Here is a 15,966-nt window from a genome sequence, read left to right on the forward strand (position 1 = left end):
GCCATTCACCCCTCCCTAGATTCTGCTCAAGGGAATTTGTCCCCACCTGAGATTATATTATAAAATTCAGTTGAAAACTTCTTAATTCAGTTGAAAGCTTCTTTTAAGTTGTGACCCCTCCCTGAGTTCGTTGGCTGACTTCTCTGAGGACCCCTGTGGGATATAATCAGGAATGGCTTCCCCCAGTTCATGCTGGAGACTGGGAATGCCTGCAAGGCACTTCCTGCTGCTGCTTCCACTTTTATCTTTCATGTCACTCCCTGAGTCTGTTCCAGCTCTGGGTAGAGTTAAGACCTTCTCCCATGGCCTGGATTTTCAGATTCCATGGTGGGTGTGTGTGCTCTGGAGGCAGACTCTCCCCCTCTCACACTCCGGGGACTTAAACAGTTTCTTACTTGTCTCATAGGGTAGGCTGCAGCCTGCCACTTCTTTCAAAGGTCTGTGGATTCTTTTGGTTTTCTTGTTAAGTTCCTGCTTTGATTCTTGGAAAAAAAAAATTCATTGTGAATCTCTACACAGTATTCTTTCCTTCCAAATATGAGAGACACACTAACACTGCCTCCGATCTGCCATCTTGGAAAAAAACCTGACTGTGTATTTGCAAATAGCCTGTCTTCAAGCTCACTGATTCCTTATTCTGCTTGATCAATTCTGCTATTAAAAAACTCTGATGAGGCTGGGCATGGTGGCTCACGCCTGTAATCCCAGTACTCTGGGAGGCCGAGGTGGGCGGATCACGAGATCAGGAGATCGAGACCATCCTGGCTAACACAGTGAAACCCCATCTCTACTAAAAATATAAAAAATTAGCTGGGCATGGTGGCAGGCACCTGTAGTCCCAGCTACTCAGGAGGCTGAGGCAGGAAAATGGCATGAACCTGAGAGGTGGAGCTTGCAGTGAGCCAAGATCACTGCACTGCACTCTAGCCTGGGAGACAGAGCAACACTCTGTCTCAAAAAAATAGAACAAAACTCTGATGAATTCTTCAGTATGCCAATTGCATTAGAAGTCTACCTAGTATTCTATTGTACTGCAGCCAAGCTGGCACTCAAATCATTAGACACAGTCTCTCCCGTTTCAACAGGCAGAGGAGCCTCAGTCACATGGCCACTATTGCCACAGGCCCACGAGGAGTACTGCCAGGCTCCTGCCAACGTTCACTTAAGGCCCAAGGGCTCTTCAGTCAGTTTGTGGCTCTTCAGTCAGATTCTGGTTAGGCCCCAGGAACTAGAGTCTTTTTAAAAGCTCCCCCAGCCTGCTGCCTTGAAGGATGCTGAAGTCCCTGCACTTGCTAACACCAACAGCCCAGGGGAGCTGGGTCCTGCCTCCACCAGCATTCCAGTGGTGGAGCTTCAATGAGGCTGGGCACCATGTACAGTGCCGAAGACCTCCTGATCACTCATGGGTACAAACTGTTGAGAGACCTCCCAGCACCACGCAGGGATAACCCTGAGGGATGCCAGCCAGCAAAGACAAGGATGCGAGTGGTCTGTGGCCTGCTGAATAGGCATGAGGATGGCCCTGCGGCCTTTGCACATCATAAGACACCTGCTGGGAAAGGGCGTGGGAGTGACTCTGAAAGCTGCCGCGCCACACTGAGAGGCCACGGGGATCCCCAGAGCACTTCTGCTTCTAGAACCTCTGAGGCAGGGCTTCATAATCAACCAACCCCAGACTGTTAATGACCAAGCCAACTGGAGAAGAGGAGCGCGGGAAGTCAGCAGCCTGCTGGGTCCGAGGGACCCAGAAGACCTGCAGGAATGACCCAAGCCCACAGTCCGCCCGTCCACATGAGGCAGCGTCCATAGGAAGTCAGAGGAAGGGCAGAGGATGTGACGAATAAGACAACTTGGGGCCGGGTGCAGTGGCTCACTTCTGTAATCCCAGCACTTTGGGAGGCTGAGAGGGGTGGATCACTTGAGGTCAGGAGTTCGAGACCAGCCTGGCCAACATGATGAAACCCCGTCTCTACTAAAAGTACAAAAATTAGCCTGGTGTGGTGGTGGGAGCCTGTAATCCCAGCTACTTGGGAGACTGAGGCAGGAGGATCGCTTGAACTCAGAAGGCAGGGGTTTGAGCTGAGAACACACCACTGCACTCAGCCTGGGCAACAGAGAGAAACTCGGTCTCAAATAAATAGATAAATAAGAAGGCAGCTTGGGAAGAAGAATTGAGAATGTTGGGTCCTGCCAAGTGGCTGAACGTCTGCAACCAGCCAAGGAAATTCAGGTGGCGGGTGTCTGATGGTGATGGGAAGAAATTATTTCAAGATCTGTTACTGTTCATTCAAGGAGAACACGTGTCGAATTCTCAAAACAAAGAGAAATCCCAATTATTGCCTAGAACTCTCCCCTCTCCCACCCCCATAGCCCTCCGACCCACAGCCTGAATTGCACAGAAATTTCCATTCCATTAAATGACAGACATTTACCTAAAATGTCACAGTATTCTCCCAATTATGCAACAAATTTGAAATTCACAAGTGACCCTGAGAAGGGTGGCTCCTTGGCCTCTTTTCCTCAGCCTAAGTTTGGGAGACCCCTCAAGCCCCCATCTGACGGCTTGCACCACCAGTCCCATAGGGAGTAGAAAGTGGTGACTATCAGGACAGCCAGCAGCGGATCCATAAGTCCCCAGGCATGAGCTCTGCATGTCTGACTTTGGATTGGAGCCTCCAGTAGGTACCTCCACCATCACACAGGTCACCCCCCAGCACATCCCAAGCCCCTACTTGGAAGACACAGTGCTCACTCATATGTGGCATTCACGGTCAGCAGCAGCCTCCAACTGAGAAGGCCGGGCTGGTGGTCGGCTTCCTTGTGGCCCCCTTGGAACTGGGCCCTGCAAACACCCTCTTACCTCAGGGCTCCCTCCACACCTCCAATCTGCCACTGCCCATGACAGCTTCATTCAGTACATTCCCTTTGATGACCCAAGGATATGACATATCAAACCAGCTCAACCCCAGGGTTTCTTTGAGGACACAAGGTTTGGTGATGAATCTTATAACTCCAGTCCTGTCACTGACCAAGAGCCAGCTCATGGAAAAATGCTGATGGTGCCATTTGGAATCCACAGAGCCTGATAGCCTTGTCAGGGAATAAGAGAGGCCCGGCCTTGGCTGATCCTAGCCCCTTGTGGCCATGGGTCCAGCTTCCCAGAAATAGAGAAAATGGTGGCTTTCCTGACCAAAGAGACAGCTGTGTCATGAGAGGATGGCAGCCTGACGTGAGGGGCAGCCCTCACAGACACGCAGAAAGCCAAGTTTCTTCCCCAAGCCCACAGGGCGAGGGCACTCATGAAACTCAAACCAAACTCAAAAAGTTTGAAACTGGGATTCGGACCAAGAAAAGTTCAAAGAAGTAAATGAAAACCAAACAAAAAACAAGACTGTATTTTGTTTGATTTTCATCCCTGTGAAATCAGAATCACAGCTGCCAGATACAGGTACGGACAACAATGACTTAAATCTGAGTGGGTCTGATGAGAGCACAGCTCTGCAACCACAGAGTCTGCTGAGCATGTCCTCCAGCGACCTGGGGCTGCAGGCTGTCACAGGAAGCATGGGTGGGAGAATGGAGCTCCAGAAACAAGATCTGGGGGTGGGGATCAGAAGAAGATAAAGCAATCAATGACCTTGGATTCATTTACCTTACAAAGCACAGTGAACTCCAGCATTCTGGCTCTTGGCCAGGGCACCAGTACAGAGATCAGCAAACACAAACCAGTTTCCCCAAAGAATCCCAAAGCTCGCAGCTCCTTCCTGTTGCAAAGCTGGGAGGGTCTAGTGTGTCCCTGACTCCAAAATGTTTGGACCCTGCTGCCTCCGAAGCTCAGATGCACACGGCAGTCCCTTCTGGTGACCACAAATAGAGGTGAAGTGCCTGCAACCTGAAAGGTCACAGGTCCCTCAGCCCAGCCGGCAACAGTGCTTTTCCAAGGACTTCCTTGTCCATAAATCAGGCACTGATGACAAAAGCAGGCTGAAGTCAGCCCTGTGTGGGTGTCTGTGGGCATGCAGTCCATCCCGGCCCAAGTGGGAGGTGGTGAAGGAGGTACCCACATGTCTGTGCAACAGCAAACAATGATTTGGGCGTTTTCTCCTGACACCAGTCAGCCATTGTGCCTGGGCTTATTAAGTTAACGAGTAAGTTTTAACAAGGAGCTTCAAGAAGACAAAGAAGGAAGACAAAGAAAACAGCTGCTGCAGCAATGAGGAAACGGAGGCGGAACAGCAGCAGGAAAACTGTGCTGACCCCAGACTGGAGAATTCAGGCTTCTGTGCAAACAGCCCGGAAATGAGTTGAGCAACAGCCAAGGATGTGGGTGCTGGAGGACCCTGGGTTTAGTTGGGAAAAGGTAGACATAAGTCTGAGAGCTGAGGTGAGGAGCTGGAACCTGGCCACCTGCGTGTCTGGCCTCTGTCCCTGGGTCCCTCTCAGGTGGAGACGACAGCCATGCATCCTCCGGGCAGCAGATGAAAGCTTGAGAGCAGAAGAGAGACACCAGAAGGTTGGCAATGGAGGTAATGAGCCCAGGTCCTGCAAAGAGAGTGATGTCTTCAAGATCAAGTGACACAAAACCAGTGCCCCTCTCCTATCCGGCTGAGCCAAGGCGTCCCAGGAAAGTCAGAAACTTACCAGCACTTTCAGTTCTGTGAAACTGAGTGAAGTGGCCCCTTGGAAGGTTGATAGTGGTGGAGAGAGGGACACAGTGCTCCCGCTGTCCCTGACTAACCAGAACCGAGGGCTCTTGGCACCAGACTTTACAGGCTATGGTGTTCACCACAGGGCAAGAGTAGAGTGAGCCAGCAAGCTAGAGGGGTCTTTGAGGGAAGTGGATGCAATAGAAACCCTCCAGGCAAGTCCCTGCAAGTGAGGGCTGTGAGGATCCTGGGCATTGAATGGCGGTGGCATTTCTCCTGCCAGTGCCCTGAGGGTGGAGGCAGAACCAGCCTCCCTGAGGTGAGCGTCTGCAGCCCAGAGGCCCCCAGGCAAGAGTCGCTGTCCAGCTCAGCACTGGCTGATGGCCTTATGGTGTCCACTGGTGCCTTTTATGGCAGGAGAAAGTGTGGCTGGACTGAAAGCCCTCTCTTGGTAGGGGAAGGGAACAGTGCCACGTGGGCTCCCCAGGCTTCTGAGCACTCAGACCTCACTTAGGGTTGTCACCAATGGAGCTTCCAGCCTTGAGTCTCAGGCTAACCCCTTGGAGTCCAAGTCCTTAAAGGAAGTGGGGGCAAAACTGCCCTTCATATTCACTTTGTTCTACTTCATAGAGAGGACTCCAAGTGTGGCAGACTCAGAAAAGAGGCTCAGAAGTGCTTTCAAAGTGATTGAAAGTTCGCAAGAGAAACTGGCTTCCCCCTGGCCAGGAGAGCAGACCCTGCCACCTGATGAGAATGGAAGAGGTGTGTTGAGTGTCTATTGAGCTTCAGGAGTGCTGACTCCCTGGAGGAGGTGGAGGGACTGAAGGCTTGGAGGGGCCAGGTCCACCTTCCAGAAGGCTCTGTGTCTCTGAGAGGCAGGGACGACAGGGTCAGAGTTGGCCACTCACTGTCTTTCTCCAAGGATGGTATCTCACGGGAAGAAAATGAGCATCTGGTGTCCAGATTCGTATGACCCTAGCAGAGAGGAGAGACTGTGATGAGATGCCAGTGACGCTTGCGTGCGTTTGCTGATGGAGTATTCTCTTATTTGTTGTTGTTTTCTTTTCCTTTTCTCTTTCTTCACTGTTCATCTGCAAGAGCATTCTCTGATTCCGTCTATGTAGGATCTGGAAACTGCTGGTTTTTAATGTACTGATGACATTCTTTACCACTGTCACTAGGAAACTTACCATCCACACAGAATTGCTTTGTGGAGATAAAGCAATAGTCCGTTGAAATAATCCTTTTTTAAAAAATTAAATTTAATTGATTAATTATTTTTTGACGCAGGGTCTTGCTCTGTTGCCCAGGTTGGAGTGCAGTGGTATGATTTTGGCTCACTGCAACCTCTGCCTCCCAGATTCAAGTAATTCTCCTGCCTCGGCCTCCTGAGTAGTTGGAATTACAGGCATGTGCCACCACGCCCAGCTAATTTTTGTATTTTTAGTAGAGACAGGGTTTCACCATGTTGGTTAGGCTGGTCTCAAACTCCTGGCCTCATGTGATCTGCCCACCTCAGCCTTCCAAAGTGCTGGGATTACAGGTGTGAGCCACCACGTCAAGCCCTTTATTAAATTTTAAAAAATAAATGAGACGAGGTCTCACTGTGTTGCTCAGGCTGGTCTCGACTCCTGAGCTCTAGTAATCTGCTAGCCTCCCAAAGTGCTAGGAGTATAGGCGTTAGCCACCATGCCCGGCTGAAATCATTTTTTATAGCATGAAGATTTAATGCCTATAATTAGGAAAGAGTTTTCACAGAAACCCTCCTTCATGAAGGATTTGGCCAAACTGGCAAATAGTTTGGTGTTTCTGTGGTTCTGTGTGAAAATTTAGACACAGAAGATCTAGTGAACGATTTTAAAGGACTGTGAATGCCACACATTCTCCTTCGTGTCTCCGTGCCCTGTGGCCCATGCTCAGTCTTTGCAGACGTAATCAAGTTAAGATGAACTGACTCGGCCGGGCTCGGTGGCTCACGCCCGTAATCCCAGCACTTTGGGAGGCTGAGGTGGGCAGATCACATGAGGCCAGGAGTTTGAGAGCTGTAATCCCAGCCACTCTGGAGGCTCAGGCAGGAGAATTGCTTGAACCCGGGAGTTGGAGGTTGCAGTGAACCGAGACCGCGCCATTGCACTCCAGCCTGGGCGACAGAGCGGGACTCCATTGCAAAAAAAAAAAAAAAAAGATGAGCTGACCCTGGAGTGGGGTTGGCCCTAACCAATGACTGGTGACCTTCTAACGAGAGGAAACCCCATGTGAAGACAGAGACACTTAGGGAGAACGCCCTGTAACGACACAGGCAGAGATCAGAGGAATGAGGCTGCAAAACACGGGGCGGGAAGGATTGGCAGCTGCCAGCAGAAGCCAGGAAGAGGCAAAGAGGATTCTAAGCAGAGCCTCAGAGGGGGCGTGGCCCTGCTGACTCCTTTGATTTCAGACTTCTGGCCTCTAGAACTGTCAGAGAGTAAATTTCTTTGTCTTAAGCCATCCATCTGTGGTGCTTTGTCAGGACATCCCAGGACACTGACGTGCTTGGCTTCTGTGATTCTTTCCGTTCCTACCTCTCCCTCCATCTCTGCCTTTCCTTTCACTTTTCACCCTTTAAATAGGAAAATTTCTGAAGGACCAGTCCGTGGCTCTCTATTCTTCTCCATTGATTCTTTCTTCTTTGGCAATTTCTTTCATTTTCATGGTTTTGCTATAGATCCTGATGATTCTCAAGTCCTGTGTTAGCGAGGCTATTGGTTGCAAAGGTTGGGGCCTCCCTCAAGCCACCTTTAAAAAAGGATGCTTACCCCTGCACATCATTTAGAATGGCTACTATAAAAAACCCAGAAAATAACAAGTGTTAGTGAGGGTGTGGAGAACTGTTAGTGAGAATGTTAAATGGTGCAGCTGCTACGGACAGTGGTAAGGAGATTCCTCAAAAAATTAAAAATAGAATTATCGTATGATCCAGCAATTCCAGTTCTGGGTATATGCCCAAAAGAATGGAAAGCAGAGTCCTGAAGAGGCATTTGTACACCTGTGTTCTAAGCAACATTATTCACAATAGCCAAAAGGTGGCACCAACACAGATGTCCATCAATGGATGAATGGATAAACACAATGTGGAATGCCCATACAACAGACTATTATTCAAACGTTCAAAAGAAAGGAAGCTCTGTCACATGCTACAATATGAATGAACCTTGAGAACACACTAAGTGAAATAAGCCCGTTACAACAGGATGAGTGCTGTATGATAAGTGGAATCATACAGTACGTTGTATGAGTCATCAAATGGAGACAGCGAGTGGAATGGTTGTTGCAAGGGGTCATTATAGTTTAATGTGTATAGAGTTTTAGTTTTGCAAGATGAGAGTTCTGGAGATACGATCATAAAGAGCAAACAAGGCTGAGAAGACCCACTTGTGTGCGAGCGCTGAGGGTAGTTTTTTAGGGTACAGGCTGAGAAAGCACCCCAAAATGTACTGACTACACCCAGAATTCAAAGCACCTGCAGGATGTCTCCATGTGGATGTCCTGCAGGTACTTGTCTCTACTAAAATACAAAAATTAGCTGGTCGTGGTGTTGCGTGCCTGTAATCCCAGCTACTTTGGGGGTTGAGGCAGGGGAATCGCTTGAACCCGGGAGGCGGAAGTTGCAGTGAGCTGAGATCGTGCCACTGCACTCCAGCCTGGGCGACACAGTGTGACTCCGTCTCAAAAAAAAAAAAAAAAAAAAAAAAGTCAAAGATTTAACTCATCTTGATTCCAAAGCAATTTTCATCTTGATGCCAATATCTAATCTTTCAGCCTTTCAGCCATTGTGCCCTGGCACTGTCTTAAAAACTTTTTTCTTGTTACAAAAGCAACATATGTTCATATTTTTTAAAGAAGATATAGATAAGTAAAAAATAAACATAAAATAATTTATAATCTCTGTGCCCAGAAATAGCCATTAATATCATTGTAACGTATCTTGCCATTATTTTTCTACACAATCATCAGAACTTCATGTACATGTAGCATGTTCTTATCCATGCTATCCAAGTCTTTGCTTATTCGTCCGACTATGTCCACATGCCTGAGTCTTACTTGTAGGTTAAGACCCAGCTTGAGGTCACGTCTGTCATTAAGCTTTACTCACTATTGCCATCAGAGAGTATTTACTACTCCATACTTGACCTCTCAGAGCATTTTAACTAACCTTTCTCGTGATACAAATCATTTTCATGTAAGTCAGAGCTCTCCTTCAGTCCAGTAGTTTTTAATTTTTTTTTTTTTTTGAGACGGAGTCTCACACTGTTGCCCAGGCTGGAGTGCAGTGGCCCGATCTCGGCTCACTGCAACCTCCACCTCCCGGGTTCAAGCAATTCTCCTGCCTCAGCCTCCCAAGTAGCTGGGACTACAGGCACGTGCCACCAAGTCCGGCTAATTTTTTATTTTTAGTAGAGATGGGTTTCACCATGTTGGCCAGGCTGGTCTCGAACTCCTGACCTCAGGTGATCTGCCCGCCTTGGCCTCCCAAAGTGCTGGGATTACAGGTGTGAGCCACCACACCCGGCCTAGTTTTTAATTTTTTAAAGCCATAGGATTCTGTTCAAATGGGTCCCTAGCATAAAAAATCAGATGGAAAGAGAGCTGCTCTGACTGTAGTTACAGAGACCTTGAACCCCAAGGGGACTAAATTCAGAGCTCGGGTTGAAAGCCCTGTACTAGATTGCAGGATTTTTAGAAAATACATTTTATTGAGGTTTAATTCATCCAGCAATATGCACCCTTTTTGAGTGCACGGTTTGATGAGTTCTGACAAGTGTGTATAACCAATGCCCCTGTCAAGACACAGATTATTCCTGTCATGCTGTAAAGCTCTCTTCTCCTGTGCAGCTAATCCCTCCCTTCCACAGGACCCCAGGCTACCGCTGCTGTTTTCTGACATTACGGATTAGATTTTCCTTTCCTGGAACTGCATGGGAATGAGTACAACAGCTATTTCCTCTTTTTGTGCCTGGGTTCTCTTCCTCCACATGTGTTTGAGACTCACCTGTAATGTCGTTAATATCAGTAGTTTGTTCCTTCTTTTAAATTTATTTTTTATGTTATTCATTTATTTTTAAGATTTTTTTAAAAAACTTACATTTTAAATTTTTTATTTTTTATTTTATTTATTTTAATTTTATTTATTTTTAATTGAATGAATTTAATTTTTAAATTTAAATTTTAGTTTTTTATTTTTATTTTTTATATACATAAATTTGTTCCTTCTTGCTGAGTGTGGCATTACCAGTTTGTTTACTCACACTCGACATTTGAGTCATTGCCAGTTTTGGGGTATTTTGAATAAAGCTGCCACAGACATTTGTGGATAAGTCTTTTTGAGTATGAATGTTTTTATTTCTCCTCAGTAGATGTCAAGTAAAACTTGAGATGATAGGTTTCTGAAAATAGAATCCATGTCTCTTTCATTTTTGTGATCCAGAGCGCACTGCATTGAGCCAGTGTTAAATGAACTTCTTGGTAAGAAAAGGGAAGGAATATTTAGTAAATGTTTACTAATTGCCAGCTACTTTTTAAAGGATTTTTTATATATTGTCATATTTAGTTTTTTCAACAACCATACAATGTGTTATTTTTACAGAATTTTCTTTCTTTCTCTCTTTTTTTTTTTTTTTTGAGATAGCGTCTCACTCTGTTGAGCAGGCTGAAGTGCAGTGGCATGATCATGGTTCACTGCAGTGTCAACCTCCAGGGCTCAAGCAATCCTCCCACCTCAGCCTCCCAAGTAGCTGGGACTACAGGTGTGCACCACCATGCCTGGCTAATTTTTTTATTTTTACAGAGATGGAGGTCTTACTATGTTCGAGACCAGGCTGTTCTCAAACTCCTGGACTCAACAATCTTCCTGCCTTAGCATCTCAAAATGCTGGAATTACAGGCATGACTCACTGTGCCCAGTCCAGAATTTTATTTCTAACTGGAGAGTTAGAGGCTTGGAAAAGTTAAGTAGCCTGCCTAGGAGCACACAGCTAATAAGTTAATAGAGCTAGGATTCAAACCCTCTGTTGGACTCCAAAGGCCAGGTTTATTTCTTAGTATTATTTTTGGCTGCCTGTTGAATCAGCTAAGTTGATTTAACATGTGGGAGAGTCCGTAAATTCTCCCGAGAGCCTCTGTGGGCTCAGCAGAGCCTTTCTGGCCATTGAAGTAGGTCAGGTCCTGCTACAGTGAAGTTTAGGAGTCAGTCTTTAACTCTGGGACATTGTCCATTCTGTCGTATCATTTACTGTTGAAAATAAGAGCATTTAGCTGGGCATGGTGTTGGACACCTGTAATCCCAGCTACTCGGGAGGCTGAGGCAGGAGAATCGCTTGAATCCAGGAGGCAGAGGTTGCAGTGAGCCAAGATCATGTCACTGCACTCCAGGCTGGGTGACAGAGGGAGACTGCATCTCAAAAAAAAAAAAAATAAATAAATAAATAAAGGAGCATTGTCAGCTGAATTTTTAAAGATTCACCTGAATTTTCCTTGTTATCAACCTTTTGCTGGTAAGCCACTAATTAATTGTCACCTGTGGAAATTTAGACGAATTTTCTAGCTTTTTATGTGTTGTTGACTCACAATAAACAACACTTCCACAAAATCTATGGGCTTTTCTGGAGGCCTTTTCTTGAGCGATGGGACTCTTGTTGAAAAGGAACTTTGAGGGGTTCAGCGTTCTTTACAATTTCCTATCAATTCATCTCCTCCAGGTGGGGAGGCCTGTAGAAGAGAGTTGTGAACAGAGTGCTGTGTGGCACCCAACACCATAGATATGGCAGGGTGGACTGGAAATGGGGTCGATGCACAGCTGGGATGCTCTGGTTTGTCCACAGTGATTCCCACAATATTGAAATGCTTTTGTTTCTGTAGGTAAACAGCAGGCTGCCCTGGCTCCTCCCCTAGAGCTCTCTCCTCTCCAACATCTTATGCTCCAGCAATGAAAGCGTTGGCACCCATCTCCGCAGGGGGCCTCTGGACCCTGTGCCAATGCCCTGGCCACCGTCCATTCTCACTGCTTGGTCCCATGACACCAAATTGTTAAATAGTTGGCTATTGACCTCTTGGCTAAAAGTTATTTTCAAAACAGAAATGTACAGGCAACAGGCCAATCACATTCTTAATTTGTAACCACCCAAGGGGTTCACCTTGCCCACTGCCTAGAGAGCCGATTCATCAAGACAGGGGAATTGCAATAGAGAAAGAGTAATTCACAGAGAGCCGGCTGTGCGGGAGACCAGAGCTTTATTATTACTCAAATCAGTCTCCCCGAGCATTCGGGGAGCAGAATTTTTAAGGATAACTTGGTGGGCGGGGGGAAGCCAGTGAACTAGGAATGCTGATTGGTCAGGGAGGAAATCACAAGGCGTCGGAGCTGTCTTCTGGCGCTGAGTCAGTTCCTGAGTGGGAGCCACAAGATAAGGTGAGCCAGTTGATCGATCTGGGTGGTGCCAGCTGATCCATCCAGTGCAGGGTCTGCAAAGTATCTCAAGCCCTGATCGTAGGAGCAGTTTGGGGAGGGTCAGAATCTTGTAGCCTCCAGCTGCATGACTCCTAAACCTTAATTTCTAATTTTGTGGCTAATGTTGGTCCTACAAAGGCAATCTAGTCCCCAGGCAAGAAGGAGGTCTGCTTTGGGAAAGGGCTGTTGCCATCTTTGTTTAAACTATAAACTATAAACTGTAAACTAAGTTTCTCCCAAAGTTAGTTCAGCCTATGCCCAGGAATGAACAAGGACAGCTTGGAGGTGAGAAGCAAGATGAGGCCCGTTAAGTTAGATCTCTTTCACTGGCTCAGTCATCGTTTTGCAAAGGCAGCTTCAATCTCACTTTCCATTATTCTTATCTCACTCTTCATTGGAGTAGTCCTCCCTTATTTGTGGTTTCACTTTCCATGGTTTCTGTTACCTGCAATAAATGGAGGTCTGAAAATGGGTGAGTGTAGCGCAGTAAGATATTTTGAGGGTGGGCACAATGGCTCATGCCTGCAATCCCAGCACTTTGGGAGGCTGAGGTGGGAGGATTGCTTGAGTATAGGAGTTTGAGACCAGCAGGGCAACATAGTGAAATTTCTCCACAAAAAATAAATTTTAAAAAATTAGCTGGGTGTGATGATGCATTCTTGTAGTCCCAGCTACTCGGAAAACCGAGGTGGGATGATCACTGGAGCTCAGAAAGTCAAGGCGTCAGTGAACTATGATCGCAGGACTGCGCTCCAGCCTGGGCAACAGAGCAAGACCCTGTCTCTCTTAAAAAAAAAAAAGATATTTTGAGAGAGAGAGAGAGAGAGACTGCATTCGCATAAATTTTATTGCAGTATATTGTTATAATTGCTTTATTTTTTTATGAGTAATTGTTGTTAATCTCTTGTGCCTAACTTATAAATTAAACTATCACAGGTATGTATAGATAGGAGAAAACAGAATATACAGGGTTCAGTACTATCCAAGGTTTCAAGTATCCACTGGGTGTTTTGGAACATATCCCCTTTGGATAAGGGGGATCACCGTATGACAAAAGCCATTGTTTTTTGTTTTGATTCTGATCTTTCTGATTCCTACATATACTTTAAGCACAAACAATTTGGTTAAAGTCTATTTCCAAGTTTCTGTGGTGTAGAGGAGGAAAATTTTAGTTTCCCTCTGCTCTTCACAGTTATTATTTGGGATGGACTCCTGTAACAAAAGACAGATTAACAAGAGAAAGACAAACGGAAGTTTATTAACATGCATGCCTCCTGTGTATGTGATAGATACCCAGAGAGATGAGTCAGTCTCAAGGAGGAGACTTTGAATTCAGGCTTAAATATTTAATACCATCTTCAGCTGTCACAAAGAAAGGTGTTGCTGGCAGGTGTGGGGAGGTAACCAGGAAAAGCAGTCAAAAAGGGTAAGGTTTGTTGTGCAGATTTGAGTCATCCTTGTCTTCCTGGTACAGAGGGGGAGGCACCCTCATAAATGGAGGGCTCCTTTACAGAAGTAAATTTCCCTTACAAAAGGGTAACTGCCTCTGTGTTCTCAGGGCTTCTTCTGTGTCAGCAGTTTCTCAAAATAATCCTTATGCCCAAAAGGCATATTTTGGTGGGGGCAGGTTGTGGTCTCCTACACTGGTCATGCCAAAGCACTGGCAAACATTATAGTGTAGCAGTTATGAGCATGGATTTTAGGATCTGACAAGCTTCAATTTTGATTTCTGGCTCTGTTACTTCCTAGCATGGTGATCTTTGACAAGTTATGGCAAGTCATACAACTTTTGTAATGCCTCAGTTTTCTCACCTGTAAAATGAATATGATAATGTCTACTTCATAATTATTAGAGATTGTTAGCAGCAGTGAATCCTTATGGGTCTGCAGCAAACTCAATTCTTGCTTCCTCAGAAGAAAGAATTTGACGGAAGGACATAAGGCAGAGGGAGAGACCGAGGCAAGTCTTAGAGTAGGAGTGAAAGCTTATGAAAAATTTTTAGGGGAAGAATGAAAGGAAGTGAAGTGTCCTTGGAAGAGGGCCAAGTGGGAGAGACAAGAGCACTGTTTGACTTTTGACTTGGGGTTTCACATGCTGGCTTGCTTCTGGTGTCTTGCTTCTCTTCTTTCCTTATTCTTCCCTTGGGGTGGGCTGTCCACCTGTGCTGTGACCTGCCAGCACTTGGGAGGGGCTGCGTGTACAGTGTTTACTGGAGTTGTATGCATGCTCACTTGAGGCATTCTTCCCTTACCAGCCAAGTGTTCCTAGAGGAAGATCATGTGCCACTTAACACCGCCATTTTGCCTTCTAGTGCGCATGCTTGAGCCCACTCGTCCAACTCCTGAGATCTTCTCCAGAAGCTGCTGATTACCAGTTTCAGGTTTTTTCTTTCTACTGGGAGACTGCCTTTCCCTGGCGCTAGCTGTGACCAATTATTATTTTAGTGCTTAACAACCGCCTGGCCATCAACTCATGGTTGCCTGACATTCCTGGTGTGATGGGGCCCTCTTCTGCCCTGCTCATGTCTGCCCGACTACCTACTGCAATAAGATCACGGAGGGGATGGGTGCAAAGACCTTGCCCCAAGTGCTCCCTGCATGCTGGCTGTGTTACACATTTCAGGGGAATTTTTATAGATTCATTCAATGCTGAGTGTTACTTTCTTCAGATATTGGAAGCTGTAACTGTTAATTCCAAAAGAGCTGCTTCTTTTGCTTTAAAGTGACTTTATTTTGCATGAGTTGATTTCAGCTCCATGCCTGTCTTCTTTTTTTGAATGGAGAACTTCTTTCCCAAAGGAGCAGTTGATTTTAAATAACAGAAAAAACAACTTGTAAAGGTGAAGAAACAAACTTAAGGCTTGAGTTTTGAACTTAGGGTTTCAACTTCCTTTGCCTATAAGTAGGAAGGATGGAGATGGCCACTATGTACCTTGCATATAAAATCAGTTGAACAGAAAAAAGTGCAGCTTTTCTGGGCAGAAGAAACAGCGATCATCTTGGGGACAAGATCTTTGTTCCCAAACTGGGAACAAAAAGAGGTTTAATTGGACTTATAGCTCCACACGGCTGTAGAGGCCACAAGGCTTCAGAATCATGGTGGGAGGCGAAAGGCACTCCTTACATGGCGGTGGCAAAAGAAAAATGAGGAAGAAGCAAAAACGGAAACCCCTGATAACCCCATCAGATTTCATGAGACTTATTCACTTTCAAAAGAATAGTACAAGAAAGACTAGTCCCCATGATTCAATTACCTCCCCCTGGGTCACTTCCACAACACGTGGGAATTCTGAGAGATACAATTCAAGTTGAGATTTGGGTGGGGACTCAGCCAAACCATATCATTCCGGAAGACCATGGCCCCTCCAAATCTCATGTCCTCACATTTCAAAACAAATCATGCCTTCCCAACAGTCCCCTAAAGTCTTAACTCATTTCAGCATTAACCTAAAAGTTCATAGTCCAAAGTTTCATCTGAGGCAAGACAAGTCCCTTCCACCTATGAGCTTGTAAAATCAAAAGCAAGCTAGTTACTTCCTAGATACGATGGGGATACAGGCATTGGGTAAATACAGCCATTCCAAATGGGAGAAATTGAGCAAAACAAAGGGGTTACAGGGCCCATGCGAGTCTGAAATCCAGCTGGGCAGTCAAATTTTAAAGCTCCAAAATGACTGCCTTTGACTCCAGGTCTCACATCCAGGTCACACTGATGCAAAAGGTGAGTTCCCACGGTCTTGGGCAGCTCTGCCCCTGTGGCTTTGCAGGCTATAGCCTCCCTCCTGGTTGCTTTCACGGGCTGGCGTTGAGTGTCTGTGGCTTTTCCAGGTGAACGCT

General features: G+C 46.2%; 1 pseudogene, besides 3 other annotated features; it reads left to right on the forward strand.

Moving 5' to 3' along the window:
- Positions 2,148–5,599, forward strand: JCADP1 (JCAD pseudogene 1; annotated as a pseudogene).
- Positions 3,467–4,462: an enhancer, noted in NCBI's record as "H3K4me1 hESC enhancer chr21:40899605-40900600 (GRCh37/hg19 assembly coordinates)". NCBI's record gives its function as "activates a minimal SCP1, AML or CMV promoter by ChIP-STARR-seq in primed H9 embryonic stem cells {active_cell/tissue: H9 hESC(primed)}" and the evidence as "EXISTENCE:reporter gene assay evidence [ECO:0000049][PMID:30033119]".
- Positions 11,354–12,248: an enhancer, noted in NCBI's record as "H3K27ac hESC enhancer chr21:40907492-40908386 (GRCh37/hg19 assembly coordinates)". NCBI's record gives its function as "activates a minimal SCP1, AML or CMV promoter by ChIP-STARR-seq in naive H9 embryonic stem cells {active_cell/tissue: H9 hESC(naive)}" and the evidence as "EXISTENCE:reporter gene assay evidence [ECO:0000049][PMID:30033119]".
- Positions 13,143–14,036: an enhancer, noted in NCBI's record as "OCT4-NANOG-H3K27ac-H3K4me1 hESC enhancer chr21:40909281-40910174 (GRCh37/hg19 assembly coordinates)". NCBI's record gives its function as "activates a minimal SCP1, AML or CMV promoter by ChIP-STARR-seq in primed H9 embryonic stem cells {active_cell/tissue: H9 hESC(primed)}" and the evidence as "EXISTENCE:reporter gene assay evidence [ECO:0000049][PMID:30033119]".

The sequence above is a fragment of the Homo sapiens genome, chromosome 21 (genome assembly GCF_000001405.40).
Source record: "Homo sapiens chromosome 21, GRCh38.p14 Primary Assembly".
In the NCBI taxonomy this organism is placed as follows: Eukaryota; Metazoa; Chordata; class Mammalia; order Primates; family Hominidae; genus Homo; species Homo sapiens.